Source organism: Homo sapiens, chromosome 16 (assembly GCF_000001405.40).
Source record: "Homo sapiens chromosome 16, GRCh38.p14 Primary Assembly".
In the NCBI taxonomy this organism is placed as follows: Eukaryota; Metazoa; Chordata; class Mammalia; order Primates; family Hominidae; genus Homo; species Homo sapiens.
In genome coordinates, this window is record NC_000016.10 from 2795589 (window position 1) to 2823577 (window position 27989).

The 27989-nt window shown below is 52.8% G+C and overlaps 2 protein-coding genes, 1 non-coding gene and 1 pseudogene across 17 annotated transcripts, besides 8 other annotated features; 2 read left to right on the forward strand and 2 right to left on the reverse strand.

Annotated features, from left to right (window-relative positions):
• Window positions 1–819: 819 nt before the first annotated feature.
• On the reverse strand, window positions 820–944 carry SNORA3C (small nucleolar RNA, H/ACA box 3C). The gene has a single exon (NR_145775.1). It is a non-coding gene; the product is annotated as a small nucleolar RNA, H/ACA box 3C (small nucleolar RNA).
• Window positions 945–2881: 1937 nt separating this feature from the next.
• Window positions 2882–9716, forward strand: PRSS41 (serine protease 41). Of its 4 annotated transcripts, NM_001395501.1 has the most exons (6): window positions 2882–2960; window positions 3048–3074; window positions 3371–3536; window positions 3698–3981; window positions 8801–8958; window positions 9326–9716. In NM_001395501.1, exons 1-6 carry the CDS (start codon window positions 2897–2899, stop codon window positions 9542–9544), a joined length of 918 nt encoding a protein of 305 aa, NP_001382430.1. In that variant the 5' UTR covers window positions 2882–2896; the 3' UTR covers window positions 9545–9716. The 4 variants fall into 4 exon arrangements, with proteins under 4 accessions (NP_001382430.1, NP_001382429.1, NP_001341515.2 ...); NM_001395500.1 differs by having other exon boundaries at window positions 2882–3074; NM_001354586.3 differs by lacking the exon at window positions 3048–3074 and having other exon boundaries at window positions 2882–3026.
• Window positions 6673–7635: an enhancer, noted in NCBI's record as "H3K27ac-H3K4me1 hESC enhancer chr16:2852262-2853224 (GRCh37/hg19 assembly coordinates)". NCBI's record gives its function as "activates a minimal SCP1, AML or CMV promoter by ChIP-STARR-seq in naive H9 embryonic stem cells {active_cell/tissue: H9 hESC(naive)}" and the evidence as "EXISTENCE:reporter gene assay evidence [ECO:0000049][PMID:30033119]".
• Window positions 15748–16478: an enhancer, noted in NCBI's record as "H3K27ac-H3K4me1 hESC enhancer chr16:2861337-2862067 (GRCh37/hg19 assembly coordinates)". NCBI's record gives its function as "activates a minimal SCP1, AML or CMV promoter by ChIP-STARR-seq in primed H9 embryonic stem cells {active_cell/tissue: H9 hESC(primed)}" and the evidence as "EXISTENCE:reporter gene assay evidence [ECO:0000049][PMID:30033119]".
• Window positions 16479–17208: an enhancer, noted in NCBI's record as "H3K27ac-H3K4me1 hESC enhancer chr16:2862068-2862797 (GRCh37/hg19 assembly coordinates)". NCBI's record gives its function as "activates a minimal SCP1, AML or CMV promoter by ChIP-STARR-seq in primed H9 embryonic stem cells {active_cell/tissue: H9 hESC(primed)}" and the evidence as "EXISTENCE:reporter gene assay evidence [ECO:0000049][PMID:30033119]".
• Window positions 19351–19851: an enhancer, noted in NCBI's record as "H3K4me1 hESC enhancer chr16:2864940-2865440 (GRCh37/hg19 assembly coordinates)". NCBI's record gives its function as "activates a minimal SCP1, AML or CMV promoter by ChIP-STARR-seq in naive and primed H9 embryonic stem cells {active_cell/tissue: H9 hESC(naive and primed)}" and the evidence as "EXISTENCE:reporter gene assay evidence [ECO:0000049][PMID:30033119]".
• Window positions 21517–21796: a silencer, noted in NCBI's record as "silent region_7074". NCBI's record gives its function as "represses an Ori minimal core promoter by ATAC-STARR-seq in GM12878 lymphoblastoid cells {active_cell/tissue: GM12878}" and the evidence as "EXISTENCE:reporter gene assay evidence [ECO:0000049][PMID:35858748]".
• PRSS21 (serine protease 21) lies at window positions 21649–26131 on the forward strand. Of its 12 annotated transcripts, none has more exons than NR_073012.2 (6): window positions 21649–21744; window positions 21842–21868; window positions 22213–22378; window positions 23171–23381; window positions 25367–25479; window positions 25778–26131. NR_073012.2 is itself a non-coding variant. In NM_006799.4 (6 exons), the coding sequence occupies exons 1-6, from the start codon at window positions 21681–21683 to the stop codon at window positions 26015–26017; spliced, it is 945 nt and encodes a 314-aa protein (NP_006790.1). In that variant the 5' UTR covers window positions 21649–21680; the 3' UTR covers window positions 26018–26131. The 12 variants fall into 12 exon arrangements, 11 of the variants coding, with proteins under 11 accessions (NP_006790.1, NP_659206.1, XP_016878367.1 ...); NM_006799.4 differs by having other exon boundaries at window positions 23089–23381; window positions 25367–25521; NM_144957.3 differs by having other exon boundaries at window positions 23089–23381.
• Window positions 21907–21966: a silencer, noted in NCBI's record as "silent region_7075". NCBI's record gives its function as "represses an Ori minimal core promoter by ATAC-STARR-seq in GM12878 lymphoblastoid cells {active_cell/tissue: GM12878}" and the evidence as "EXISTENCE:reporter gene assay evidence [ECO:0000049][PMID:35858748]".
• Window positions 24444–24945: an enhancer, noted in NCBI's record as "H3K4me1 hESC enhancer chr16:2870033-2870534 (GRCh37/hg19 assembly coordinates)". NCBI's record gives its function as "activates a minimal SCP1, AML or CMV promoter by ChIP-STARR-seq in naive H9 embryonic stem cells {active_cell/tissue: H9 hESC(naive)}" and the evidence as "EXISTENCE:reporter gene assay evidence [ECO:0000049][PMID:30033119]".
• Window positions 24946–25445: an enhancer, noted in NCBI's record as "H3K4me1 hESC enhancer chr16:2870535-2871034 (GRCh37/hg19 assembly coordinates)". NCBI's record gives its function as "activates a minimal SCP1, AML or CMV promoter by ChIP-STARR-seq in primed H9 embryonic stem cells {active_cell/tissue: H9 hESC(primed)}" and the evidence as "EXISTENCE:reporter gene assay evidence [ECO:0000049][PMID:30033119]".
• On the reverse strand, window positions 27069–27406 carry EIF1P4 (eukaryotic translation initiation factor 1 pseudogene 4; annotated as a pseudogene).

Sequence of the window (27989 nt, forward strand, 5' to 3'; positions counted from 1 at the left end):
CAACAGTTTGTTCCTGACTGCTGCACAGACGAAACCAGTTCACTGAAAAGATGATGTTGCAGTAAAGAAAGAGTTTAATTGACCCTAGGCTAGCCACATGGGAGATGGAGTTATTACTCAAGTCAGCCTCCCCAAAGGCTTGGAGGTTAGGGTTTTTCAACGATAGTTTGATGGGCTGGGGGCCAGGGAATCGGTGCTGCTCTTTGGTTGGAGATGCCATCATAGGAGTGTAAAAACTTGTCCTGTGTGCTGAGTCCACCTTTGGGGGGGTTGGCAGCATCAGCTGAGCCATGAGTCATGAGTCTGGGTGGGGTCAGTCTGAAAAACATCTCAAAAAACCAATCCTAGATTCTGCAAGAGTGATGTTATCTATAGAAGCAATTGCGGAAGTCACAACTCCTGTTACCTTTTGCCACGCCACTCCTGAGCAGTAAAAGGCATTATTGAAAATATGCCTACCTCATAGCAGAACTCAGGCCCTCCCGTCATCCTAATCTCATGGCTTTTCATTAGGTTTTTTTGTTGTTGTTGTTAGCATTTAATGAACCTCCCTCCATGTGGCTTCCAGCCACCAGGACACAGGCCTCCGCAACCCCCTGCCTCCCAGACACCGTTAATCTTCTCCTCAGCTCTTTTGCTGAAGAATTTGGCTTTCATGGTGACACGATGCTTTGGGAGCTTTCCCTTTCCCAGAACCTTGCAGCAGCCCTAGAAGAGAAGAGAAAAAAGTTTACAATACACTGTGGTAGGTACCAACTGCTTGATGGGTATGAGGAAAGAGGGCTGCTAACCCACTTTCCAAAACCCCAGGCAGGGTATGTATGTTTCTGATCTGGGCACTAAAGGAAGCAACAACTGCCCCCACCAGTGAATCAAGACCAGTAGATTCTCTCCAAGTACCGTAGCACACCAAGAGCTGTGTCAGCATGCGACTTAGTCTCGGCAGCCTTTCATTTGTTTTACGAATACAGTTTCATTTCCAGAACAAGGAGGAGATCAGTTTTAGGGAGGGATGATTATCATCCTTACTTCAAAGTTAAACTATAAACTAAATTCCTCCCATGGTTAGCTTGGTCTACACCCAGGAATGAGCGAAGGACAGCCAGCCTGTGAGGCTAGAAGCAAGATGGAGTCAGCCACGTTAGGTTTTTCTCATTGATATGTTTGCAAAGGCGGTTTTAAGATTGTCTTTTAATTCATGAACATGGAATGTCTTTTCGTTTACTTAGGTCTTCTTTAATTTTTTTTTTTTTTAAATTTGAGACGGAGTCTCGCTCTTTTGCCCAGGTTGGAGTGCAGTGGCGTGATCTCAGCTCACTACAACCTCCGCCTCCCGGGTTCAAGCAGTTCTCTGCCTCAGCCTCCTGAGTAGCTGGGGTTACAGGCACGCGCCACCATGCCCGACTAATTTTTGTATTTTCAGTAGAGACAGGGTGTCACCATCTTGGCCAGGCTGGTCTCACACTCCTGACCTCGTGATCCACCCGCCTCGACCTCCCAAAGTGCTGGGATTACAGGCGTGAGCCACCACACCCGGCTGGGACGGTTTTCTTAATTTCATTTTTGGATTGTTCATTGCTAGTATATAGAAACACAGCTGATTTCTGAGTGTTAATTTTGTATCCTGCAACTGCTGAATTTATTAGTTCTAACAGTTTTTTTGTGTGAAATCTTTTTTTTTTTTTTTTTTTTTTGAGATGAGTCTCGCTCTGTCGCCCAGGCTAGAGTGCAGTGGCGCGATCTCGGCTCACTGCAAGCTCCGCCTCCTGGGTTCACGCCATTCTCCTGCCTCAGCCTCAGCCTCCCGAGTAGCTGGGACTACAGGTGCCCGCCACCACGCCTGGCTAATTTTTTGTATTTTTAGTAGAGACGGGGTTTCACCGTGTTAGCTAGGATGGTCTCGATCTCCTGACCTCGTGATCTGCCCACCTCAGCCTCCCAAAGTGTTGGGATTACAGGCGTGAGCCACCACGCCCGGCCTTGTGTGAAATCTTTAGAGACTTCTACAAACAAGATGTCATCTGCAAATGGAAGTATTTTACTTCTTCCTTTCTGATTCTCACGTCTTTTTTTTTTTGTCTAATTATTCTGGCTAGAAGTTTCAGTACAATGTTGCATGGCATTGGTAAAACTGGGCATCCTTGCCTTGTTCCTGATCTTAGAGGAAAAGCTTTCACTTTTTCATCGAGTATGATTTTAGCTGTGGACTTTACTGTGTTAAGGTCTTGTCTTTCTTTCTTTTTCTCTTTCTTTCTTTCTTCTTCTTTCTTTTTCTTTTCTTTCTTTCTTTTTTTTTTCCAATATCTTGATCTGTCGCCTAGACTAGAGTGCACTGGCATTATCGCAGCTCATTGCAGCCTCTATCTCCCAGTCTCGAGTGAGTCTCCTGCCTCAGCCTCCCAAGTAGCTGGGACTTCAGGTGTGTGCCACCATCCTCAGCTAATTTTTTTTTTTTTTTTTTTTTTGAGAAGGAGTCTTGCTCTGTCGCCCAGGCTGGAGTGCAGTGGCGCGATCTTCCAGGCCCCACCGGGCCCTCAGGAAGGCCTTGCCTACCTGCTTTAAGGGGACTCCTGGCTCAGGGCCAGGCCCCTGGTGCTGGAGGAGGTGGTGGGTGGAGGGCAGGGGGCACCAAGCGGGCAGCCAGGACCCCCGGGCTGCAGACAAGAAAAGGACTGTGGGGTCCACCGGGTCTGGGCCACATCAAGGAATGTGGTTGAAGACCCGCCCTTAGGAGCTGAAAGCCAGGGCGCTACCAGGCCTGAGAGGCCCCAAACAGCCCTTGGGCCTGGTTTGGGAGGATTAAGCTGGAGCTCCCAACCCGCCCTGCCCCCAGGGGGCGACCCCGGTCCGGCGCGAGAGGAGGCAGAGGGCGCGCCAGGCCGCGGGAGAGGAGGCCATGGGCGCGCGCGGGGCGCTGCTGCTGGCGCTGCTGCTGGCTCGGGCTGGACTCGGGAAGCCGGGTGAGCTCGGGGCGCTACAGGCGGGACCGGGGGCAGCGAGGAGGCCGGGAGGTGGAGGCCGCGAGGGTCACTTCTTGTGTCCTGCAGAGTCGCAGGAGGAGGAGCTGTTGTCAGGTAGGGCGCCCAGGACGCGCGATGCCAGCCAGGGCGGCTGGGCCGGGGTGCACGGGGGCCCATCTACTGCTCTCTGTTCCAGGTCCCGAGAACGTGATGCTCTCAAGTAACTAATGGGTCCTAGGGGTGGGACCGTCCACTGCCCACCACGTGGGAGGGTCCCTAGCGTCACCTTCTTGGCGCGCGGTTCCCCGGGGAGCCCCCCGCTGCGCGCACCCCGGGGCAAAGCCGGGCAGGGCGGGCCTGCCCACCCCACCCCACCCGGCAGCTCAGCCGCGTCCGTCTGTCCATCCCAGAGGCCTGCGGCCACCGGGAAATTCACGCGCTGGTGGCGGGCGGAGTGGAGTCCGCGCGCGGGCGCTGGCCATGGCAGGCCAGCCTGCGCCTGAGGAGACGCCACCGATGTGGAGGGAGCCTGCTCAGCCGCCGCTGGGTGCTCTCGGCTGCGCACTGCTTCCAAAAGTGAGTCTGGGGGGCGGCCGGGGCCTCAGACTTGCTAATGGCCTCCAGGATGAGCAAACAGTAGCCACCCAGCAGCTTGGCCTCAGGGACTGGGCCTCCAGCGTGCTCAGGCGGCCAGCCCCCTATTCCAAGGCTCCCCGCCCTCTCTCCTTTTCTGCTAGGCACTACTATCCCTCCGAGTGGACGGTCCAGCTGGGCGAGCTGACTTCCAGGCCAACTCCTTGGAACCTGCGGGCCTACAGCAGTCGTTACAAAGTGCAGGACATCATTGTGAACCCTGACGCACTTGGGGTTTTACGCAATGACATTGCCCTGCTGAGACTGGCCTCTTCTGTCACCTACAATGCGTACATCCAGCCCATTTGCATCGAGTCTTCCACCTTCAACTTCGTGCACCGGCCGGACTGCTGGGTGACCGGCTGGGGGTTAATCAGCCCCAGTGGCAGTGAGGCTGGGGATAGACCGGGTGGGGTGATGGGGGTGCGGGGTGAGCATTACCCTCTACCCCTGTTCCCGCTACACAAGCACAGCAGCCCCCTCCTTGGTCTGGGGCTGCAACCTGCGCCCCTCCTGCTCTCATTCTCTCCTCACTTGCTTTTCTGCTCTCACTGCCACCTGTCAGGGCAGGGACCAAACACCCAGTTCTTCCCCCTTCCAGGGACTGTGGGGGCCAGCAGGACAGTGTGAGAGGGAGGCCAGCTTGGCCTGGGCCTGAAGGAGTGAGGGGGAGTTCGGGAGGACCTGGTGACAGAAGCCTCAGGCAATGATTTTTAAAAATTGAGGCAACTCACAAACCATAAAATTTTCAAGTGTTCAGTGTTGAAGGACACAATTCAGTGATTTGTAGCCTACAGTCATGTGTCACTTAATGACCGGGATATGTTCTGAGATATGCATCATGAGGCACTTTCATCATTGTGTCAACATCATGGAGTGTAGTTACACAAACCCAGATGGCAGAGCCTGCTACACACCCAGACTGTGTGGTCTAGCCCATTGCTCCTGGGCCACAAACCTGTGCAGCTTGTTACTGCACTAAATACCAGAGCAGTTGTAACACACTGGTAAGTACTTATGTACTTAAACATATCTAAACAGAGAAGAGGCACAGTAAAGATATGGCATAAAAGATAAAAACCAGGCCAGGCGCATGAGCCTATAATCCCAGCACTTTGGGAGGCCGAGGCAGGTGAATCACCTGAGGTCAGGAGTTCGAGACCAGCCTGACCAATATGGTGAAACCCCGTCTCTACTAAAAATACAAAAATTAGCTGGGTGTGGGGGCGGGTGCCTGTAATCTCAGCTCCTTGGGAGGCTGAGGCAGGAGAATCGCTTGAACCCGTGAGGGGCAGAGGTTTCAGCGAGCCGAGATGGCACCACTGCATTCCAGCCTGGGTGACAGAGCAAGACTCCATCTCAAAAAAAAAAAAAAAAAAAAAGATAAAAAACAGTATACCTGTGCCCTAGGCACTTACCATTAGTGGAGCTGGCTGGACTAGAAGTGGCTGTTGGTAAGTGAACGAATGGTGAGTGAATGTGAAGGTCTAGGACATGACTGTACACTACTGTAGACTTTATAAACACTGTATACTGAGGCTACACTAAATTTACCCAAAAACCTTTTCTTTCTTTAATAGCAAGTGGAACTTAGCTTACTGTAAACTTTTTACTTTATAAAAATTATAGCTATTTTAACTTTTTTACTGTTTTGTAATAGCAGCTACCTTAAGACACAAACACATTGTATAGCTATATGAAAATATTTTCTTTCTTTATATCCTTTTTCTATGAGCTTTTTTTCTATTCCATACACATGGAACATACAACATATGATTTTTAGGGGTCTAGATTCTTTCATATAACATAGTGTCTCCAAGGTTCATTTTGTGGGATGTATCAATAAGGGGTTTCACTATGTTGGCTAGGCTGGTCTCGAACTCCTGACCTCAGGTGAACTACCCACCTCGGCCTCCCAAAGTTCGGGGATTACAGGTGTGAGCCACGGTGCCCAGCCGTTTTATCAATTATTAATAGTGAGCTATTAACATCTCCAACTATTGTTGTAGAACTGTCTATTTCTCCCACCAATTCTGTCAATTTTGCTTTATATGTTTTGGCGATCTGTTGTTAGGTATGAAGATATTTATGATTGGTATATTTTCTTGATGATTTGATTGTTTTATCAATATGTAATGTTGTTCTTGGACTCTTATTTTTTTTTTTAATTTTTTTTTTATTGATAATTCTTGGGTGTTTCTCACAGAGGGGGATTTGGCAGGGTCATGGGACAATAGTGGAGGGAAGGTCAGCAGATAAACAAGTGAACAAAGGTCTCTGGTTTTCCTAGGCAGAGGACCCTGCGGCCTTCCGCAGTGTTTGTGTCCCTGATTACTTGAGATTAGGGATTGGTAATGACTCTTAACGAGCATGCTGCCTTCAAGCATCTGTTTAACAAAGCACATCTTGCACCGCCCTTAATCCATTTAACCCTGAGTGGACACAGCACATGTTTCAGAGAGCACAGGGTTGGGGGTAAGGTCACAGATCAACAGGATCCCAAGGCAGAAGAATTTTTCTTAGTGCAGAACAAAATGAAAAGTCTCCCATGTCTACCTCTTTCTACACAGACACGGCAACCATCCGATTTCTCAATCTTTTCCCCACCTTTCCCCGCTTTCTATTCCACAAAACCGCCATTGTCATCATGGCCTGTTCTCAATGAGCTGTTGGGCACACCTCCCAGACGGGGTGGTGGCCGGGCAGAGGGGCTCCTCACTTCCCAGTAGGGGCGGCCGGGCAGAGGCGCCCCTCACCTCCCGGACGGGGCGGCTGGCCGGGCGGGGGGCTGACCCCCCCACCTCCCTCCCGGACGGGGCGGCTGGCCGGGCGTGGGGCTGACCCCCCCCACCTCCCTCCCGGACGGGGTGGCTGCCGGGCGGAGATGCTCCTCACTTCCCAGATGGGGTGGCTGCCGGGCGGAGAGGCTCCTCACTTCTCAGACGGAGTGGTTGCCAGGCAGAGGGTCTCCTCACTTCTCAGACGGGGTGGCCGGGCAGAGACGCTCCTCACCTCCCAGACAGGGTCGCGGCCGGGCAGAGGCGCTCCTCACATCCCAGATGGGGCGGCGGGGCAGAGGCGCTCCCCACATCTCAGACGATGGGCGGCCGGGCAGAGACGCTCCTCACTTCCTAGATGTGATGGCGGCCAGGAAGAGGCGCTCCTCACTTCCTAGATGGGATGGCGGCCGGGCGGAGACGCTCCTCACTTTCCAGACTGGGCAGCCAGGCAGAGGGGCTCCTCACATCCCAGACGATGGGCGGCCAGGCAGAGACACTCCTCACTTCCCAGACGGGATGGCGGCCGGGCAGAGGCTGCAATCTCGGCACTTTGGGAGGCCAAGGCAGGCGGCTGGGAGGTGTAGGTTGTAGCGAGCCGAGATCACGCCACTGCACTCCAGCCTGGGCACCATTGAGCACTGAGTGAACCAGACTCCGTCTGCAATCCCGGCACCTCGGGAGGCCGAGGCTGGCGGATCACTCGCGGTTAGGGGCTGGAGACCGGCCCGGCCAACACAGCGAAACCCCGTCTCCACCAAAACCAGTCAGGCATGGCGGCGCATGCCTGCAATCGCAGGCACTCGGCAGGCTGAGGCAGGAGAATCAGGCAGGGAGGTTGCAGTGAGCCGAGATGGCAGCAGTACAGTCCAGCTTCGGCTCCGCATGAGAGGGAGACCGTGGGGAGAGGGAGAGGGAGAGGGAGAGGGAGAGGGACGTTCTTGGACTCTTATAACAAGTTTGTATTAAATTCTATTTTGTCTGATAGAGTATAGTAACCTCAGCTCTCTTTTGGTTACTATTTTTATGGAAATTTTTCCCAACCTTTCACTTTCAGCCTGTGTGTTTCACTGGATCTAAAGTGACTCTCTTATAAGGAGCACCTATCTGGATCCAGTGATTTTTTTAAAAGCGATTTTATCAGTCTCTGCTTTTTATTTGGAGCATTCAAGCCCTTTACATTAAGAGTAATTGATTACAGATCTGCAAAGAATGACTTCTGCCATTTTGTTACTTGGTTTTTAGATCTCATCATATCTTTTTTCCATGCTGATATTTTTTATTTCTTTTGTTTCTTATTTCCTCATTTTTGTTTAACTGATTGTTTTAGAGTACCATATTGATTCCCTTCTCATTTCCTTCTCCGTGTTTATTTTGCTTTGTTAGTGGTTGCTCTAGGGATTACAATTAACATCTAAACCTTATAATAACCTACTTTGAATTTATACTAACTTAGCTTCAACAGTATTAAAAAAAATCTCTGTTCCTATATGGCTCCATTCCTCCACTTTATGTTGTTATTGTCACAATTTACATCTTTGTTCATTGTGTAACCTTTAACCTAGATTTATAATTATTGTTTTATGTATTTGTCATTTAAATTACATAAGAAAAAGAGGAGTTACACACCAAAACTACAATAATACTGACTTTTATATTTACCTATGTAGTTGTCTTGACCAGGGCTCTTTGTTTGTATGACTTTGAGTTACTCTCTAGTGTTCTTTCATTTTAACTGGAAGGATTCCTTTATCCACTTCTTGTAGGATAGGTCAACTAATGACAAATCTTCTCAGCTTTTGGTTATCTGAGAATGTCTTAATTTCTTCTTCATTTTTTTCCTGATATAAAATTCTTGGTTGACTGTTTCTGTTAATCTTGCTGAGGATCCCTTGTCCTTGATGTATCACTTCTCTCTCCATGTTCATAAGACTCTCCCTTTATCTTTTGTTAGTTTTATTATAATGTGTCTCAGTGTAAATCTCTTTGTGTTTATCCTGTGGAATTTGCTCAGCTTCTTGAATCTGTGGGTTCATGTCTTTCATCAAATATGGCAAGTTTTGACCTGGATCCCACAGCTGTCATGTGTTAATCATAAACATTCTCATCTACTGTAGCCCTTCTTCCTGCCATGCTTTGGTTGAGAAATTTCTCCGCGGACTCAGGCAGGGGCTATCATCTCCATTCTACAGATAGAGAAACCGAGTTTCAGGAAGCACTGCAACAGCCTGGCCCATCTATTGGGTTATTCTGTGATATTGTTGATTGCTTTTGATGCACTGGGTGCTGGGGAGTCAAGAGCAATGCTGGGTGTTGTGGGTGTGTCAGGGACCTTCTCCCCACCCCTATAACACATGCCCTTTCTCCTCTCCCTGCTCCAGATAGCAGAGGAGAGGTGAAGGGTGCTGTCCTTTTCTGTCCTATCTCCAGCACCTCTGCCACCTCCTTACAACCTCCGGGAAGCACAGGTCACCATCTTAAACAACACCAGGTGTAATTACCTGTTTGAACAGCCCTCTAGCCGTAGTATGATCTGGGATTCCATGTTTTGTGCTGGTGCTGAGGATGGCAGTGTAGACACCTGCAAAGTGAGTGCCTCTACCCCACCAGGGAATCCCACCCTCTCCAGCTCTACACCTGAGAGCAGCTACCATTTCTCCCCCAACCACTCCCAACCCATTGCTTAGATTTCTTAGGAGAAAACCAGTGCAGTCTCAGTTACTGAGCCTACAAAATATGCTTCTCATTTTTCATAAATTCTGCCTACACTGATTAACCCACCAACCCCTGGAGGCTGTTGCCCCACTTTGAAAGTGTAGAAACTGAGACTTGATTCCATGGGAAGGAGTAAGGTTTGCATTCAGTCTGCCTAGCCCCACAGCCCCTCCTGCTCTCATGGCCTCTGCTGCCCCACCCACTCTGCCCCAGCCTGGGCTCACCCATGCTGCTCCCCAGGGTGACTCAGGTGGACCCTTGGTCTGTGACAAGGATGGACTGTGGTATCAGGTTGGAATCGTGAGCTGGGGAATGGACTGCGGTCAACCCAATCGGCCTGGTGTCTACACCAACATCAGTGTGTACTTCCACTGGATCCGGAGGGTGATGTCCCACAGTACACCCAGGCCAAACCCCTCCCAGCTGTTGCTGCTCCTTGCCCTGCTGTGGGCTCCCTGACTCCTGCAGCCATTCTGAGTGCACCAGAAACTGTGAGGCTGCAGTGGGGACCACAGTATTGGCTCACCTCCTCTGGGCTGTGGGCGCTTCAGGGACAGGGTTGGGACTGCCTGCTGGATCAGATTCCGGCCCCTTTTGTCTCGTTTGCTAATAAATACGTGTGCATGTTCAAGCTGATGCCTTACAGAGCTTTCTGTGGACCTAAGGGGTTTCGTGGACAACTCCCTCCTCTTCACTCATGTCCAGTCCAGGCCAAGACCCCACCTGAACTCCTAAATTGTTATCCAGGTTTTTGTTGCGAACAGCAGCACCCTCTGGTTATTTCCATCGGAAAGATAATTGATGGAAGAGCAGTAGTACTTCAGTGTGTCAGAGGGGTGGGAAGACATGGATTGGGGGTGCCATGGAGGAAATGCTCCCAGTGCTCCCATCCTAGGGTTCCCAATCACACAAATGCCAGATGTTCCTGATCTTATTTTGGTCACTCCAATGGTTGACCTAAAACCAGGACATGGGTGCGGTAGTTTATCTGGAAGGTGATCCCAGGAAGCAAAGATGAGAAAGTGGAGAAACCAAGGCAGGAAAGGCACAAATGCCAATGAATTTGCTCAAACTGGGAGAAATTGGGCCACAATCCTGTGGGGGCTTCAGCATTGGCCCACTGAGGACAAGGACACCAGGAGCGAGTGTTTCTCTCTTCCCCCTGATGCCACAAGTTGAGGGAGGTCCTTGGGGCATGGTATGATGCCCCAGAGCTCTAGCAGCCCCTAGGTGAGGCTGTGGGCACCCAGGCAGCTGCTGTAGCAGCACCATAAGGTGGCTGGCATGGGGGAGGGGGGTATGTCTTCCCCTGCCTTGAGGTTCCTGACCCCAGCATCAGCTTGGCCAAGGAACCAGTCCAACAAGGTAAATGCTGCAGACTCCCTGAACTGGGAAAGCGATCTGCATTTTGCCAAGATCCAAAAATGCTGTGAGCACAAGAAGGTACAAGAAGCTCTGGCCTAGGCAGCCCCTGATCCCATCCCCACCCCACAGCCCCTGCTCCTTTGAAAATGCAACCACTTGAAGCAAACTCTCCCTGCTCACCATTAGCCTCCGGAGGAAGGCTGTAGAGGGGCTCTGGTTCCTCAAACCATGGAGGGTGGGCAGTCACAGGTGGTCCCTGCCTACGATGTCCTCCCACCCTTCAGGACCACATCACTCACCAGTGGGGGGCTGACCTATTAGCAGGCGGAATTGCCAGTCCTGCCAAATTGTAGAGGGAGTGTCATGATACAGTGGACGTGCTATCCTCCTACCCTGTGCATGCGTTGGGGTCAGGGGAGGGTCTTCCTGCTGAGGAGACCTGGCCTATCCAGATAGAAGAATACTGAGACTGGAAAAGGGTGAGCAGATTCAAAGGTAGGACTGGAGTGGATGTAGCTGGTTCTGAGGGACAGGAGGTGAGTCCAGCGGCCCTTTCTAAGTTTGAGGGTGTTCTGCAGGTGAGCAGGTCTATGCAAACCTATCCTCAAAGGCCAAGGGAGCCAACAGGACAAAGAAAGAGGCTGACAAATCCAGTGTCTAAGGAATAAACATTTAATAGGAACTTACAAACTGAAGTGATGTATTGGTTGTCCATGGGATGGTGGATCTCCACACCCTGCAGAAAGTATTCTTTATATCACAAGAATTTTTTTTTTTGGTAAAACAAGTGCAATTGGTTATGCCTCAGACATTCCAGCAAAATCTTGACCACTGGGGAGATTAGAGAGGCATCTTTATGAGGAGTTATCTGTGTGACAGGGACAGCTTGGTATGCTGGAGCGAAACATGGTCATCATGGGGTTTTCACTTCAAGATGGCGTCACTCTTGCCATACAAAAGACTGTTTTCCTATAGGTCTAGGGACATTCCAGCGGAGTTGAACAAGTAAAGTAGAGACGGACATTTTTTTCTTTTTTGAGATGGAGTCTCACACTGTTGCCTGGGCTGGAGTGTAGTGGCATGATCTCGGCTCACTGCAGCCTCCACCTCCAGGGTTCTCCTGCCTCAGCCTCCCAAGTAGCTGGGATTACAGGTGCACACCACAACACCTGGCTAATTTTTTTGTATTTTTTTTTTTTTTAGTAGAGATGGGGTTTTACTATGTTGGCCAGACTGGTCTCGAACTCCTGACCTCATGATCCTCTCACTTTGGCCTCCCAAAGTGCTGGGATTACAGGTGTGAGCCACTGTGCCCGGCCTAGAGATGGACTTTCACCAGAGGGAATGACTTCAGAGATAAAAGGTGATGTCCACAGCCCAAAGTGGCCCATTGTGGGTGTCAGCAGGGCCTCAGGGTTCCATTGCCATATGCTGGCAAGGCAAGAGGAAAGGTGGGGACTAAGAGTAGCTCTGGGATTGGAGGAGCCAACTGGAAGGAGAGTGGAGCTGGAGCACCTCGGGGTGGGGTGATGGAATAAGGACAAGGTGTAGCGGCTGCCTGTGAAAGGAGCAGAGGAATGTGGGGAATGGGCAGGCAGGTTTGGATCTTGGGTAGGAAATCCACATGGGTGGGGGGACAGTCAGAGCCCAGAGGACTCAGAGCTCTTGCTGCCATGGCCAAGCCCTGTTGGGATGTTGGCATCTGCCCTGCCCAGGACCCCCACCCCCAGGCCACAGGAGACAGAGGCTACACCTCCAGGCATCGAATGAATAGACACCAAGGGTGACGGGCAGGGAGGGATCTGGAGATTTCGGGGGTGTCTTAGTGAATTCTTACGTTGCTATAAAGGAATACCTGAGGCTGGGTAATTTATACAGAGAAGGGGTTTATTTGGCTCATGGTTCTGCAGGCTGTGCAAGAAGCATGGCACCAACATGGTGAGGCCTCAAGAAGCTTCCACTCATGGCGGAAGGTGAAGCAGGAGCACATGTGTCCCATGGCAAGAGCAGTAGCGAGAGAGATGCCAAACAACCAGCTCTCACATGAACTAACAGAGCAGGAACTCACTCATTACTGCAGGGAGGGCACCAAGCCATTCACGAGGGACCCACCCCCATGACCCTAACACCTCCCACCAGGCCCACCTCCAACAGTGAGGCTCCCATTTCACATGAGATTTGGAGGGGACAGACATCCAAACCATATCACCGGTGCATCAATATGGTCTGTGGTCAGGAAGAGATAGTTAGGCTGGGTCACCTCAAGGAAGAGCAAGAGACGACCAAACACAGACGGTGGGACGGGGAGCAAGCAGAAGGAACAGCATGTGCCAGGGCCCTGAGGTGGGAAGGAACCTGGGTGTCTCCACCCTGAAACCAAGGGTAAAATAATGACAGCAGCATCTGCGGGGCCAGGCTCTATTGCGAGGGCTGAGCCTGCATTAACTTACTTCTTCCTCACCCTGAGGCTGCTCCCCCGTGAGGCCCCAACAATATGGCTCCCAGTGCCTGCCTGCCTGGGTTTGAATTTAATCCATTTACTTTTAAGGTTGTTATTGATAGGTAAGGACTATTTCCTTCATTTTATTTATTTATTTATTTTTTTGAGACAGAGTCTCACTCTGTTGCCCAGGCTGGAATGCAGTGACACCATTTCGGCTCACTGCAACCTCCACCTCCCGGTTCAAGCGATTCTCCTCCCTCAGCCTCCCAAGTAGCTGGAACTACAGGCCTGTGCCACCACACCTGGCTAATTTTTGTATTTTTAGTAGAGATGCAGTTTCACCATGTTGGCCAGTCTAGTCTCGAACTCCTGACCTCAGGTGATCCACCCGCTTTGGCCTCCCACAGTGCTGGGATTACAGGTGTGAGCCACCACGCCCGGCCCATTTTGTTAATTGTTTTCTGGTTATACATCCTTTGTTCCTCTCTTCTTGTTATCATTGCAGTTTGGTGGTTTTCAGTAGTGATGTTTAATTCTTTTCTCTTTCCCTTTTATATATCTGCTCTACCAGTGAGTTTTATACTTTTACGTGTTTTCAAGTTAGTGATTACCACCTTTTTGCTTCCAGATGTAGGACTCCCTTCAGCATTTCTTGCAAGACTAGTCAGTCTAGTAGCGATTAATTCCCTCAGTTTCTGTTTGTCTGGAAAAGACTTTACTTCTCCCTCATTTCTGAAAGATAGGTTTGGCTAATAACTTTCTCCTTTCAGCACTTCGACTATATCACTCCTCTCCTGGCTTCAAAGGTTTCTGTACAGAAATCTGCTGTTTGTCTAATGGAGATTCCTTCATATGTGACTTGACACTTTCCTCTTGCTGTTTTTAGAATTCTCACTTTGTCTTTGAGTTTTGACAATTTGACTTTGATTTGCCTCAGAGAGGACCTTTTTGGGTTTAATATATTTGGGATACTTTGAGCTTCTTGGGTCTAGATGGCCATATCTCTCTCCAGACTTGGGAAATTTTCATTAAGTAGGTTTTCTATGCTTTATCCTCACTCTTCTCTCTCTGGAACTCCCATAATACAAACATGCCTATGCTTAATGGAGTCCCTTAAGTCTTACAGATTTTCTTCTTTCCAATCCTTTTTTTTTTCTCCAGTTGGGTAATTTGAAACAAACTGTCTTCCAGTTCAGAGAATCTTCTGCTTGACAAGACTACTATTGAAGCCATTATATTTTTTTACTTCACGAATTGAATTTCTCAGCTGCAGAATTTTCTGTCTTGTTCCTTTGTTATGGTTTTTTATCTGTTTGTTGAATTTCTCATTAATATATGTTTTCCTGATTTTGTTGAATTGCCTGTCTGCATTTTCTTTTATCTCATTTAGTTTTCTTTTCTTTTCTTTCTTGAGATGGAGTTTCACTCTTGTTGCCCAGGCTGCAGTGCAATGGCATGATCTTGGCTCACCGCAACCTCCGCCTCCCGGGTTCAAGCGATTCTCCTGCCTCAGCCTCCTGAGTAGCTGGGATTACAGGCATGTGCCACTACGCCTGGCTAATTTTTTGTATTTAGTAGAGATGGGGTTTCACCATGTTGGTCAGGCTGGTCTTGAACTCCCGACCTCAGGTGATCCACCCCCACCCCTGGCCTCCCAAAGTACAGCCGTAAGCCACCATGCCCGGCCTCATTTAGTTTTCTTAAGATCATTATTTTGAATTTATTTCTGACAGTTCACTGATTTCCTTTTCCACTGGGCTCTGTTACTAGACAATTATGTTCCTTTGATGCCAGATTTTCTTGCTGCTTCATGTTTCTTGTGTCCTTGCACCGATGTCTGTACACCTGGTGGAACAATCGCCTCTTCCAAAGTTTCTAGAGTGGCTTTCATAGAGATAGACTTTTACCTGCAGTTGGGTCTTAGTGTGCTGGTTGGAAAGGGTGTGGTGGCTGTGTTTCCAGATGGGTGCAGTGATATGGTCTCGGTGCAGCTCTTCAGCTGTGTTGAGCATCAGCAATAACTGTGGGTGCCTTGAGGCCCAGGCTGTACAGATTTGTGGCAGTGGTTGTTAATGTCCTTGATGTCAAGGGCTTTTGGGATCCTCCTATTCTTATTTTCCCCACAATGGGGACATGCAGCCAAAGGGGACCTTTTAGTGTCAAGCTTGATATGGCTCACAAGACAATGCAGTGGCACTGGCTTTCGTTTGCAGGTGCTTGGAGTAGCTGTGGGGCTGGGGTCCTAGGCTCAGAGCCTGGCGTACAAATTGAGGCAAGGCCTGGGTCACTGGGTGCAGGCTTACTCTCTGTGGCAGGGTTGAATGTGCGTTGCCCACAAAGCCAGGATCTGTACTTCTGACGCACTCTCTAGCAGGTCAGGCCCAGGGGGCTGGGTTGTAGCTGTGATTCTACTGTGGGGGGCAGAGCAATGACCCAACTCTGGGGAAGATGTGGTGCTCTTCATGTTTAAACCTGGGGATCAGGGTATGGCTGCCACTCCGGGGCCTGAGCCAATAGGGCTCAGTATAACTCAGGGTTCAGGGGCTCAGCGTAACTCAGGATTCAGGGGCTCAGCGTAACTCAGGATTCAGGGGCTCAGTGTAACTCAGGGTTCAGGGGCTCAGCGTAACTCAGGATTCAGGAGCTCAGCATAACTCACGGTTCAGGGGCTCAGCGTAACTCAGGGTTCAGGAGCTCAGCGTAACTCAGGGTTCAGGGGCTCAGCGTAACTCACGGTTCAGGGGCTCAGCATAACTCACGGTTCAGGGGCTCAGCGTAACTCAGGATTCAGGAGCTCAGCATAACTCACGGTTCAGGGGCTCAGCATAACTCACGGTTCAGGGGCTCAGCGTAACTCAGGATTCAGGAGCTCAGCATAACTCACGGTTCAGGGGCTCAGCGTAACTCACGGTTCAGGGGCTCAGCGTAACTCAGGGTTCAGGGGCTCAGCGTAACTCAGGATTCAGGAGCTCAGCGTAACTCAGGGTTCAGGGGCTCAAAGTAACTCACGGTTCAGGGGCTCAGCGTAACTCACGGTTCAGGGGCTCAGCGTAACTCAGGGTTCAAGGGCTGAGGCTCCATGCAGTAGTGACTCTGAACCCCGAGAAGGTAGGGCTTGGCAGTATCCCCGACTTCATGAAGCCAGATACACTGGCAGAGTGGCAGAGCACAGCTGTCATTTCAGTCCTGTTGGGGAGGGAGGTAGCAGGAAACAGCACATTCGAGGGGAAGGCAGGGAGCAGCGCAGGGAGACTATCTCTATCTCTAGGAGGCTAATCCAGGGAGGCAAGGTGCTGGAGCTGGCCCAGAGGGCGGTGTCTCAGCTGGAGATGGCCCACAGCAGGGTGTCTCAGCTTAGCCACTGCTGAGCCAATGTTTCCCTGGGATGCGAGCTACTACATCAGGTCAACCCCTGGATTCACAGCTGCTCAGCTCAGCCAGGGCAATGATCTCTTGGGGGAAGTGGGCTGCTTTAGCTTAGGCCTGGGGAATGAGACTATTCTGGGTAGCCCTGGCACCATTTCCTGGAATGCAGCACGCTTCTCCAACTTCAGCTCTGAGCAGCCAAGGTGCTGTTTTCCCGGGAGGCAGGTTGTGGCTTCAGCTCTGGCCTGAGCGGAGAAGGGGGAAGGTTAGGTGGAGCACCTCCACCACTGCTTGGCCCCAGGAGCAAGGGTGTGACCGCTGCTCACGGCTCAGTTTAGGGGTGTGAAGCCACCAGGCTGAGGTTGTTCAGTGGTGGATTAGTCTCAGGGATAAAGGGCAACTGTGGCTACTCAATCCCAGGGCAAGATATGCTCTGGCTGTAGTTCCAATTCACCGCTGGCGCAGTGCGGTAGCCACGTGACCACAGGAAATGGGCTCACTGTGGGCTCCTCTGCAGGGAGCTCAGCTGTGCGGCCTCAGTTAGCCCCCTTGCCTGGGCTTAGTGCCTGTGAGGACAGGGGACGCTAGTGGTGAGGGCTATAGGTGTCCAAGGTGCTGGTGGGGCTCCTGGGATCCCCTGCTTACCTCCTTGCCTCATTCCCAGCTGATCCTGGTTGAGGACTGGGGTGCAGGCCCAGTGTTTCCTTCTGTTCTTCATGCGGCCATCCTGAGTTTCTCTGCTCACCAGGTTTCTGTTACTCCTCTAAAGCACTCTGGTGCTCTTCCTCAGTTATTTTCATTAAAAGTTAATTGTTGGCCAGGCGCGGTGGCTCACACCTGTAATCCCAGCACTTTGGGAGGCCAAGGCGGGCAGATCATGAGGTCAAGAGATCGAGACCATCCTGGCCAACCTGGTGAAACTGTCTCTACTAAAAATACAAAAAAAAAAAAAAAAAAAAAAAAGGGGGCATGGTGGTAGGTGCCTGTAATCCCAGCTACTTGGGAGGCTGAGGCAGGAGAATTGCTTGAACCCGGGAGGCGGAGGTTGCAGTGAGTTGAGATCACGCCATTGCACTCCAGCCTGGGCAAAAAGAGCAAAACTCTGTCTCAAAAACAAAAACAAAAACAAAAACAAATATTGTTTATTCATTGTTCTGGCTGTCTTAGTGAGGGGAAGGAGGACAAGAGAACTAGGGGGGCCATGGATGGGTGGCCCGCACCTGTAATTCCAGCACTTTGAGAGACCAGGGCAGAAGGATCGCTGGAGGCCAGGAGTTCAAGACCAGCCTGGATAACATTTTGCTCTACAAAAAATTTAAAATAAAAATGGGCCGGGCGCGGTGGCTCATGCCTGTAATCCCAGCACTTTGGGAGGCCGAGGTGGGCGGATCACAAGGTCAGGAGTTCGAGACCAGCCTGGCCAACATAGTGAAACCCCGTCTCTACTAAAAATACAAAAATTAGCTGGACGTGGTGGCACACGCCTATAGTCCTAGCTACTCGGGAGGCTGAGGCAGGAGAATCACTTGAACTCGGGAGGCAGAGGCTGCAGCGAGCCGAGATCGCCCCACTGCACATTAGCCCGGGCGACAGTGAGACTTAGTCTCAAAAAAAAAAAAAATAAAATAAAATAAAAGTAAAAATAAAAACGTAGCTGGGTGTGGTGGCCCGCACCTGTGGTCCCAGCTACTTGGGAGGATGAGGTAAGAGGATTACATTGAGCCTGGGATGCTGAGGCTGCAGAGAGCCAAGATCTCACCACTGCCCTCCAGCCTGGCCAATAGAGGGAGACCCTGTCTCAAAAAATAAAATAAAATAAAATAAAGAAAAAAAGAAAAAGGAAGGAAATTGTGACACATACAGCGATATGGATGAGCCATGAAGACACTGTGCTCAGTGAAATAAGCCAGTCACAAAAAACGAACACCGTGTGATTTCACACATATGAAGTACTTAGAGCAGCCAAAAGCGTAGGGACAGAAAGCAAAACAGAAGTTGCCAGAGACTGACAGGGCGGGAGCAGAGCCTCACTTTAGTTTTGGCACCTGGCTCTGGTTGTGACGCCTGCACCGTCTCCCTGGAGGGGCTGGTCAGAGCTGGGCTCCCACTGACTGATGTGCCAAGATGAGGCCCCCACTGTACCTCTGCTCCCACCCTTCTGCACCACCCACCCAGCTCCCATCCCTCTGCACCACCCACCCAGCTCCCACCCCTCTGCACCACCCGTCCAGCATTCCTCTGACTTTCAGGGATAGCAGGGGCCAGGCACAGGGAGTGGGCAGCGGAGTCCCTCTCAGGAGGAGCCTCCTTCAGGGAGGTGGAGGTGGAAGAGGCCAAGCCCTTGGCCAGCACAGCTCTCAGAGGCAGGAGCTTGGAGGTGCCACAAAGCGGGCTGTGTTCTCGCGCTAGCCCAGCCTAAGGGCACCTTTCCATGTTTTGTTTTGTTTTGTTTTTTGTTTTTTTTTTTTTTTTAAACACGGACTCTCGCCCTCTCACCCAGGCTGGAGTGCAATGGTGCGATCTCGGCTCACCGCAACCTCTGCCTCCCAGGTTCAAATGATTCTCCTGCCTCAGCCTCCAGAGTAGCTGAGATTACAGGTGCCCACCACCATGCCCAGCTATTTTTTGTACTTTTAGTAGAGACAGGATTTCACCATGTTGGCCAGGCTGGTCTCGAACTCCTGAACTTGTGATCCATCCGCCTCGGCTCCCCAAAGTGCTGGGATTACAGGCTTGAGCCATGGCACCCGACCTGTCTTTCCATGTTTTGCTGGCAGTTCAGGGGCCTTCTTTCTAACTCCAGGCTGACAGGGTTTGGCGCCCAGAAGGAGAGTCACTTGGGCCAGGACTCCAGAAGCACCAGCTGAGGTTGAGGGGACTTGGTGGAAGGGATAGTTAGCAGCCTGGCCAGAGGGGCGCCAGGACTCACCCAAATGCACACTGGAGGGGATGTTCAGATGGCACGAGAACGGGGATCACACATGGTCGTTCACACACGTGCACTTGAAGATGCATGCACACACATACACCCAGACACACACACCCGCCCAGCCTCTCCTGCACGCAGGGGGCATGCACACACGAGGACGCTCCTCACCTGCATGCCTGACCTGGGGAAGAAGCCCACCTGGTGGGAGGCACCCTCCTCCCACCCTCCATCTGCCATGGCCCAAGTGCTGGCCCCGAGCCCGTGCCCAGGGAGACTCAACACAGGCCCTTTGTCCCTTGGGATCAGGGCTCCCAAGAGAGGGATTTACTGAGCATTTATTTCCTGCCCCGGGCACGCCCCAGTCCTCATTCTGCCAGGAGAAGGGAACAATGAGGCCTTCTCCTGCCCGCAGAGGTGGCTCCGGGCCGGCTGGCCCTTATGTGTCAGGAGTCGGGTTAGGACCACAAGTCCCTGTCCTCCCTGCCCTCCAGGTGTGGGGCTTGGGAAGACCCCTCTGTGACTCTGCAGCCTGAGGCACAGCAGACAAGAGAGTCTCCATCTGCAGCCCATGCAGCAGCCAGGGCCTCCCTGCAGCCCCCGGGCCAGGCTTGGCCTCTGCGGGAAGCCCCCAGCCTCACTGGAGGCAAGAACCTGAGTCCCTGGCTCAGATCTCCGGGTAGGACTGGCCTGACTGAGACCCTGGGCAAAACCAGGAGCTGACACCTCCTAGGGGCCTCAGCGGATCCCTGGGACTCAGGAACCAGAGGGAACGTCCTGCTGGCTGGGAGAGGGGCAGGATCAGAAGCCCAGGGACCTTTGCCCCAACCCAGCAGGCCAAGGCCAGGCTGTGCATGTGACTTGTCCTTGAGCAGCTGCTGCTGGGGAAGGAGGCCCTGAGGGAAGGCACCGCAGCCTTGTGCTCCTGAAACCCGAAGCTCCCACACACCCGCTGCGCCCTCATTGAGTTCCCGTTGGTACCATGCTCTGTGCTAAGCATTTTATCTGTACTTTCCCCAAAGAAACTTAATACTTTTATTGGAAAACCAGAACGCCTAACCACACATTTTGCCTAATCTTTCATGTAATTAACCTTCCACTAGTGCAAGTGTTGAAAGTAGAATACGCTATTCCCAAGTTTCAAGTTGAGGGAGGCGGGATTCCCAGGTTCTGGTTGTACATTCCCATTTTCACTGATCTGTTCAGTGGTCAATGGATTCTTGGGTTGCTTTCATGTCAGCTACTGTGAATAATCCTGCTATGAACATGGGTATACAAATATCTCTTGAAGGCTGGGTGGGGTGGCTCACACCTTCACCCTGGCACTTTGGGAGGCCGCAGAGGGCAGATCACCTGAGGTCAGAAGTTCAAGACCAGCCTGGCCAACATGGCGAAACCCCATCTCTACTAAAAATACAAAAATTAGCTAAGCATGGTGGCAGGTGCCTCTAATCCCAGCTACTCTGGAGGCTGAGACAGGAGAATCACTTGAACCCAGGAGGCAGATGTTGCAGTGAGCCAAGATCGCACCACTGCACTCCAGCCTGAGCGATGGAGCAAGACTCCATCTCAAAAACAAACAAAACTAAATCCCCCCAAAAAACCAAAAACAAATATCTCTTGAAGACCTTCCTTTCAGTTCTTTTGGGTGTATGCTCAGAAGTGGAATTGCAGCTGGGCGCGGTGGCTCATGCCTGTAATCCCAGCACTTTGAGAGGCCGAGGTGGGCGGATTACCTGAGGTCAGGAGTTGGAGACCAGCCTGGTTAACATGGCGAAACCCCGTCTGTACTAAAAATACAAAAATGAGCCAGGTGTGCTGGCGCGCGCCTGTAACCCCAGCTACTTGGGAGGCTGAGGCAGGAGAATCGCTTGAACCCAGGAGGTGGAGGTTGCAGTGAGCTGGGATCACGCCAATGCACTCCAGCCTGGGCGACAAGAGCGAAACTCCATCTCAAAAAAAAAAAAAATTGTTCCAGAGAAGTGAAGAGAGCCCAGCGGGAGCCCGCAGTGGGGACAGCCTGGGCAGAGACTTGGGGAGATCCCCATTCTGGGTGGAACGGGCCGAGGACCACTGTTTTCCCAAGAAGGTCCCATGAAGGAGCAGCCATGCCTCTAGGCCCCACCCGGCCTTCAGGGGGTCCCCAGGCTTTAAGGGGACTCCTGGCTCAGGGCCAGGCCCTTGGTGCTGGAGGAGGTTGTAGGTGGAGGACGGGGTCACCAAGAGGGCAGCCGGGACCCCTGGGCTGCAGACAAGAAAGGGACTGTGGGGTCCACCGGGTCTGGGCCACATCAAGAAGTGTGGTTGAAGACCCGCCCCTAGGGGCTGAAAGCCAGGGCGCTGCCAGGCATGAGAGGCCCCAAACAGCCCTTGGGCCCAGGAGGGTGAAGCTGGGAGTAGAGGGCAGAGCTCCCACCCCGCCCCGCCCCCAGGGGGCGCCCCGGGCCCGGCGCGAGAGGAGGCAGAGGGGGCGTCAGGCCGCGGGAGAGGAGGCCATGGGCGCGCGCGGGGCGCTGCTGCTGGCGCTGCTGCTGGCTCGGGCTGGACTCAGGAAGCCGGGTGAGCTCGGGGCGCTGCTGGCGGGATGGGGAGGCGGGGGAGCGGTGGGGAGGACGGGAGGTGGAGGCCGCGGGGAGTCACTTCTTGTCTCCCGCAGAGTCGCAGGAGGCGGCGCCGTTATCAGGTAGGGCGCCCAGGACGCGCGATTCCTGCCAGGGCCGTTGGGCCGAGGTGGACGGGGGGCGGTGAGGGGGTAGAGGGGGGCCTTTACTGCTCTCTCGCCCCCGCCCCCGGGATCGAGAACTCTGTTGGCGTGGAAAGTAACTAACGGACGCTGGAGGGGGATGGGCGGGCCCTGCAGAGCACGTGGGAGGATCTCCAGTGTCACCTACTTCCTGCTGCACACACGCGAGGGGACCCTGGGTGGGCAAAAACGTGCTTTCCCGGACGGGGTTGAAGGGGAGAAAGGGAGAGGTCGGGCTTGGGGGGCTGCCTCCCGCGGCTCAGCAGTTCCTCTGACCATCCGAGGACCATGCGGCCGACGGGTCATCACGTCGCGCATCGTGGGTGGAGAGGACGCCGAACTCGGGCGTTGGCCGTGGCAGGGGAGCCTGCGCCTGTGGGATTCCCACGTATGCGGAGTGAGCCTGCTCAGCCACCGCTGGGCACTCACGGCGGCGCACTGCTTTGAAACGTGAGTGGGGGTGCGAACGGAGGGGTGCGGGGACGGGCAGGAACAGGGCTGGAGGGAGTGCCACCGAACTTTACCTCTGGTCTGATGCCAGACTTGGGCGTGAAAGTTGTGCGTGGATGCGGCCTGGTGTTCTCCTGAGCCCCAGGCTGTGCTGCAGCCGGTTACACCCACTCCAGTTCCCTTTGGGTCTCCTGGAGGGAACCCTGTTCAGGTTATTCCAGAATGTTCTTCCAGAACATTTCCACACACTTTTGGGTATTCTCTCCCTTTTTCTTTCAACCCAAAGTTCACCACTGACCATCCCACCCTCATCCCCCCTCCTGGTGGACGGTGCGGTACAGTGTGGGGCACTGAGCCAAGGCCAGCACCCCCGGGCCGCTGTGTGGACTCCATCCTGCCAATCCCACATTGGCGTGGTGCATCTCCCCATTCCTCCTTGGGCTGCATGGGGGTGCCCCTGGAGGCCTTGGCTCAATGCAAGGCTCCTTGGGACAGCTCTGGGAGGTGACAAGACCCCACCCTTCTGCTGCAGGAGCAGGTCCTAGGACTTTGGTTGTGGTCTGTCTGGGCTCCTTCATTTCTGCAGGGGACCCTGGGTGTTAGCAAGTAGCAGCAACACCACAGTTTCCCCTCCTGCACTGGACCCCAGTTGTGCTCAGGTAGCCAGCCCTCCATCCAGGGCCCCTGACTGCTCTCTTCTCTTCTGCCAGCTATAGTGACCTTAGTGATCCCTCCGGGTGGATGGTCCAGTTTGGCCAGCTGACTTCCATGCCATCCTTCTGGAGCCTGCAGGCCTACTACACCCGTTACTTCGTATCGAATATCTATCTGAGCCCTCGCTACCTGGGGAATTCACCCTATGACATTGCCTTGGTGAAGCTGTCTGCACCTGTCACCTACACTAAACACATCCAGCCCATCTGTCTCCAGGCCTCCACATTTGAGTTTGAGAACCGGACAGACTGCTGGGTGACTGGCTGGGGGTACATCAAAGAGGATGAGGGTGAGGCTGGGGACAGGCGGGTCAGGGAGGAACTGTCTTTGTTCACCTGTTCCCCTGCATAGGCACAATAGCCCCCTGCTTGGTCTGGGGGTGCAGGCTATGCCCCTCTTGCTTGCAGTCTCTCCTCACCTGCCAGGGCAGGGACCAAACACCCAGTTCTCTCCCTTCCAGGGGCTGTGGGGGCCAGAAGGAGAGTGTGAGAGGGAGGCCAGTTTGGCGCAGGCCTGTGGGTGGTGCGGTGGTGGAGGGGTTCTGGAGGGCTTGGCGACATAAACCTCATACTTGGATTTATTCCTGCATCTTTCCACCTCCCCCAGTGCTCACCAATGCCCCAGGCATCAGGCTCCTGGGCTGCCTCTCCATGCCTCCCACACCCACCCTAGCTCTGGCCGATTCTCCTGCAGCACTGAGCCCATTCCTCTCCCCAGAAACTTCCAAGCCATGCTCAACCGCAGCTCCCACGGAAACCCCTCTGGGGGTTCCTCTGGTGGGCCTGCCCTGGCACCTGCGTGTCCCCCAACACACATGCCCTGAAAGAAGTGGGCCCAGCATCCGGAGGAGCCCCGGCAGCCCCAGACTGGGCGTGTTCCCTGTATCAGGAATCCCTTCCCTCTGCTCCCCTGTCTGGCCCGTCCCTGCATCATCCCACAACAGTAGTAACAATAACAAACGTGGTTCCTTGAGCACACGCTGTGTGCCTGGCACTGTTCTAGACATGGGGGCCCAGCAGTGAGCCAGGCGCGGCCTCTCCTCCTGCTGGAGCTCACCTAGGAATGAAGTTGGTAACGTTCTTATACCCATCTTACAGATGAGAAAACTGAGAGGGTTATGGAAATTGCCAAGAACTAGTAAATGGAGAAGTCAGGGCCCCTTGCCTTAGAGAGGGTAAGGGATGTCCCCAAGTCACACCCCGGCAGTTGGGAGTGGGGAACTCAGCACTGGAGCCGCCTCCCTCTGGAGGAGGGATCCTTTGCCTTCCCTGAGAAGGACCCTTGCTGCAAACACGAGTGGATATGAGCCAGGGGCACGGCCAGGCTGCCTCTGCCACCCTCTCTCCCCAGCCCAGGGTAGACAGGTCACACCAACCCCAGGCTGTGCCTCAATTCACAGTGCCGGGGAGGCAGGGGACAGGCACTTCTGGAGCCCCCTGCCTGGTGTGCACCTTTGCTGTGCCCTGCGCGGGCTGGGAGGCCTTGGGCAAAGGTGTTCATCTTACAGTGCCTCAGTTTCCTCCCCTGTGAAATAGGGGAATGATGGTGCCACATCAGAGGCTAGTTCCCAGGTTGTTAGTCCCGAGGGCTTAGGAGAGGCCCCGCTGACGGGAAGCGCTGCCTGCAGGTTGGGTCTCATTGTCTTTTGTCATCCTCTGCAGGACAAGGTGCTGGCTGGCACTCTGAGGCAGGAATTGGACAGGTGTGGGCTCCTGTCAGGCTCTGAAACTTCCCCAGTGCCTTGCTGGGGGTCAGCGGGGCAATATCCCCCTGACTCTCCTTATCTGGGAGTAGGTCCTGATGACTGCCGCCTCCCAGGGGTGCTGGGGGTCCCTAAGAGTGCTGCAACAAGCTTGTGTCCAGGCCTGGAAAGCGCCCAGCTGCTACTGAGGCCAGGGCTGCAGCCAGGCTGCCCCTCCCCCAGGTCTGGCTTTGGATGCTCATCTGAACACCGTCTCAGCTGCCTTCGCCCCTCCCTCGGCTCCTTTTGGCTGAGGAATCTCTCCATGGCTGCAGGCAGGGCCATTGTTGCCATTCTACAGATAGGGAAAGTGCGGCTGGGGGAGCTCTGACAGCCTGTCCCTCCCCGGGGCCTTCTGTGATGCTGCTGAGGGCCTCTGTTGTGCTGGGGTCTGGGTTGGAGCTGGGGGTAATGGAGATGAACCTGCCAGGCACAGTGGGTGCCCCAGGGCCCCCACCCCCGCAGCCTATGCCATCCCTCCATAGAGGGGCCTCAGGTTGCTGTCTCTCTCCTTCCCACTATCGTCCGCACAGCACTGCCATCTCCCCACACCCTCCAGGAAGTTCAGGTCGCCATCATAAACAACTCTATGTGCAACCACCTCTTCCTCAAGTACAGTTTCCGCAAGGACATCTTTGGAGACATGGTTTGTGCTGGCAATGCCCAAGGCGGGAAGGATGCCTGCTTCGTGAGTGTCCTTGCCACCACTCCCAGCCCAGGAAAGCATCCTGTGTCCCTGTGCCTTATTTGACCCTCATGCCAACCCCGGGAGGTGGAGACTGTTGCCCCACTCTGCAGATGCAGAAACGGAGGCTTGGCTGCTGCCAGGGGGAGGAGGAGGATGTGCACCCAGTCTACCCAGCCCCATAGCCCTTCCCACTCTCAGCCCCTCCCCTGCCCCACTCACTCTGCCCCAGGCTGACCTCAGCCCCGCTGCTCCCCAGGGTGACTCAGGTGGACCCTTGGCCTGTAACAAGAATGGACTGTGGTATCAGATTGGAGTCGTGAGCTGGGGAGTGGGCTGTGGTCGGCCCAATCGGCCCGGTGTCTACACCAATATCAGCCACCACTTTGAGTGGATCCAGAAGCTGATGGCCCAGAGTGGCATGTCCCAGCCAGACCCCTCCTGGCCGCTACTCTTTTTCCCTCTTCTCTGGGCTCTCCCACTCCTGGGGCCGGTCTGAGCCTACCTGAGCCCATGCAGCCTGGGGCCACTGCCAAGTCAGGCCCTGGTTCTCTTCTGTCTTGTTTGGTAATAAACACATTCCAGTTGATGCCTTGCAGGGCATTCTTCAAAAGCAGTGGCTTCATGGACAGCTCATTCTCTCTTGTGCAGACAGCCTGTCTGTGCCCCTGGCTCACACCCACATCTGTTCTGCACCATAGAACCATCTGGTTATTTCGATCAGAAAGAGAATTGTGTGTTGCCCAGGCTGGTCTTGAACGCCTAGGGTGGTCTCGATCCTCCCGCCTCACCCTCCTGAGTAGCTGAAATTATAGACGCACATCATGCTCAGCAATGGAACAGGAGTAGTTCCAGGGTGCCAGGAGCTGGGAAGCCTGGATTGGGGGTGTGTGCATTGGAGGAAACAATCCTGACATCCCTCACCCCACAAGGATCCGGCACAGAAACGCCAGACATCCTGATCTTACTATGGTTCCCCCAAGGCTGACCTAGGACCAGGACATAGGTGCAGGTAGTTTATCTGGGAGGGGATTGCAGGAAATGGGGAAACCGAGGCAGGGAAGGAAGGAACACCAATGAGCTTACACAAACATAGAGGGTACCATTCTAGGCAACTGGGGTGCAATCCTGTGGGGGCCTCAGCGTTGGCCCACTGAGGACAAGGACACCACGGTGGGCGTTTCTCTCTTGACCACTCCCCCCACCATGTTGAGAGTAGTTCTGGGGCACGGGATGCCTCAGAGCTGGGGCAGCCCCGAGGTGAGGCTCTGAGCACCCAGAAAGTAGGCAATAATGGTTCCCCTTGTGGGACTCCAGCTGGCTCCAAGTTCGAAAATCATGGTCCTCCCTTAGCGATGTTTTTATTTTTTTATTTTTATTTTTGCAGTTTATTGCATAAAGGAATTACACTAGTTCAAGTTAAAAGCAGACCTCAAATGGTTAAATTAGACAAACTGTGAGGTTTTAAAACTTGTAACAAGGGAAAGAAGGGAAATTCTACTCATTACAGGGAAATCCTCACTTAAGTTTCAGTGAGCCACAAGTAGTTAAAACCCTTGAACCATCAGCAGATCGTCCTTAGCCAGTCCCACCTCTACAAGGAACTGGCATATGTTCTTGCGCTGGTCACCCTGTAGCTGAATGACTTCTCCATATTCTGGATGCTCAATTACCGTCCCATTGCAGGGAAATTTCCTCTTAAATGCCTTCACTAGTTGCTTTTTATTGTAATCCTTAGTGATCGCTTAGACAGTGCTAAGGGTTTTCCTGTCATTTCTCTGTTAAATCCTTGCATGGATGTATTCCTCAGTGCCTGCAGGGAGCAGGTCATCACTCTTACTTAAATCAGCAAAGGGGTGGAAGAGTGGAGATTCTGGACAGTGGACATACGAGATGACTCCTTTTCCTCAGTGGAAACGGGCAAAACTCGGGCCAAGGCGCCAACAGCCACAGATTTCCAGCCAGAAAAACAACACCCCAGAGATCCTGTAACATTACGAAGGCTTTGGAATGTCATATTTAAATTGTTTATAGATCAGTTTTATCATCTACCTGTAGACTATATTGGACCCTAAATTCTAAGTTCCTCCAATCCAGTTTTCTCCTACGGAATTATTAAAACTGGAAGCTGCTCTTTCATAAATGCCCTGCGAGCTAAAACAAAACAACTTAACATAAATATCAAGGGACAAGTATTGTGCCTGATGTGTGGACCGCACAGAGTTCACCAACCATCCAAGGCCATAACCAGAGACATTTTAACTGCAAAATTGCCGGCTTCATACTGCAGCTTTTCCCAAGACCATCAAAACGAGATTCCGTATCATGGTGGTCCACTTACCTCTCTTAATGCGCACCTTTCTCCCTTGACAGGATAATGTGTAATTAAAATTTTACAGCCAGTAACTGCTTTGGGTAACTTAACAGAACTGGACCTAAAAACATGCTTCACTCCACCTAGTGGGTAACTT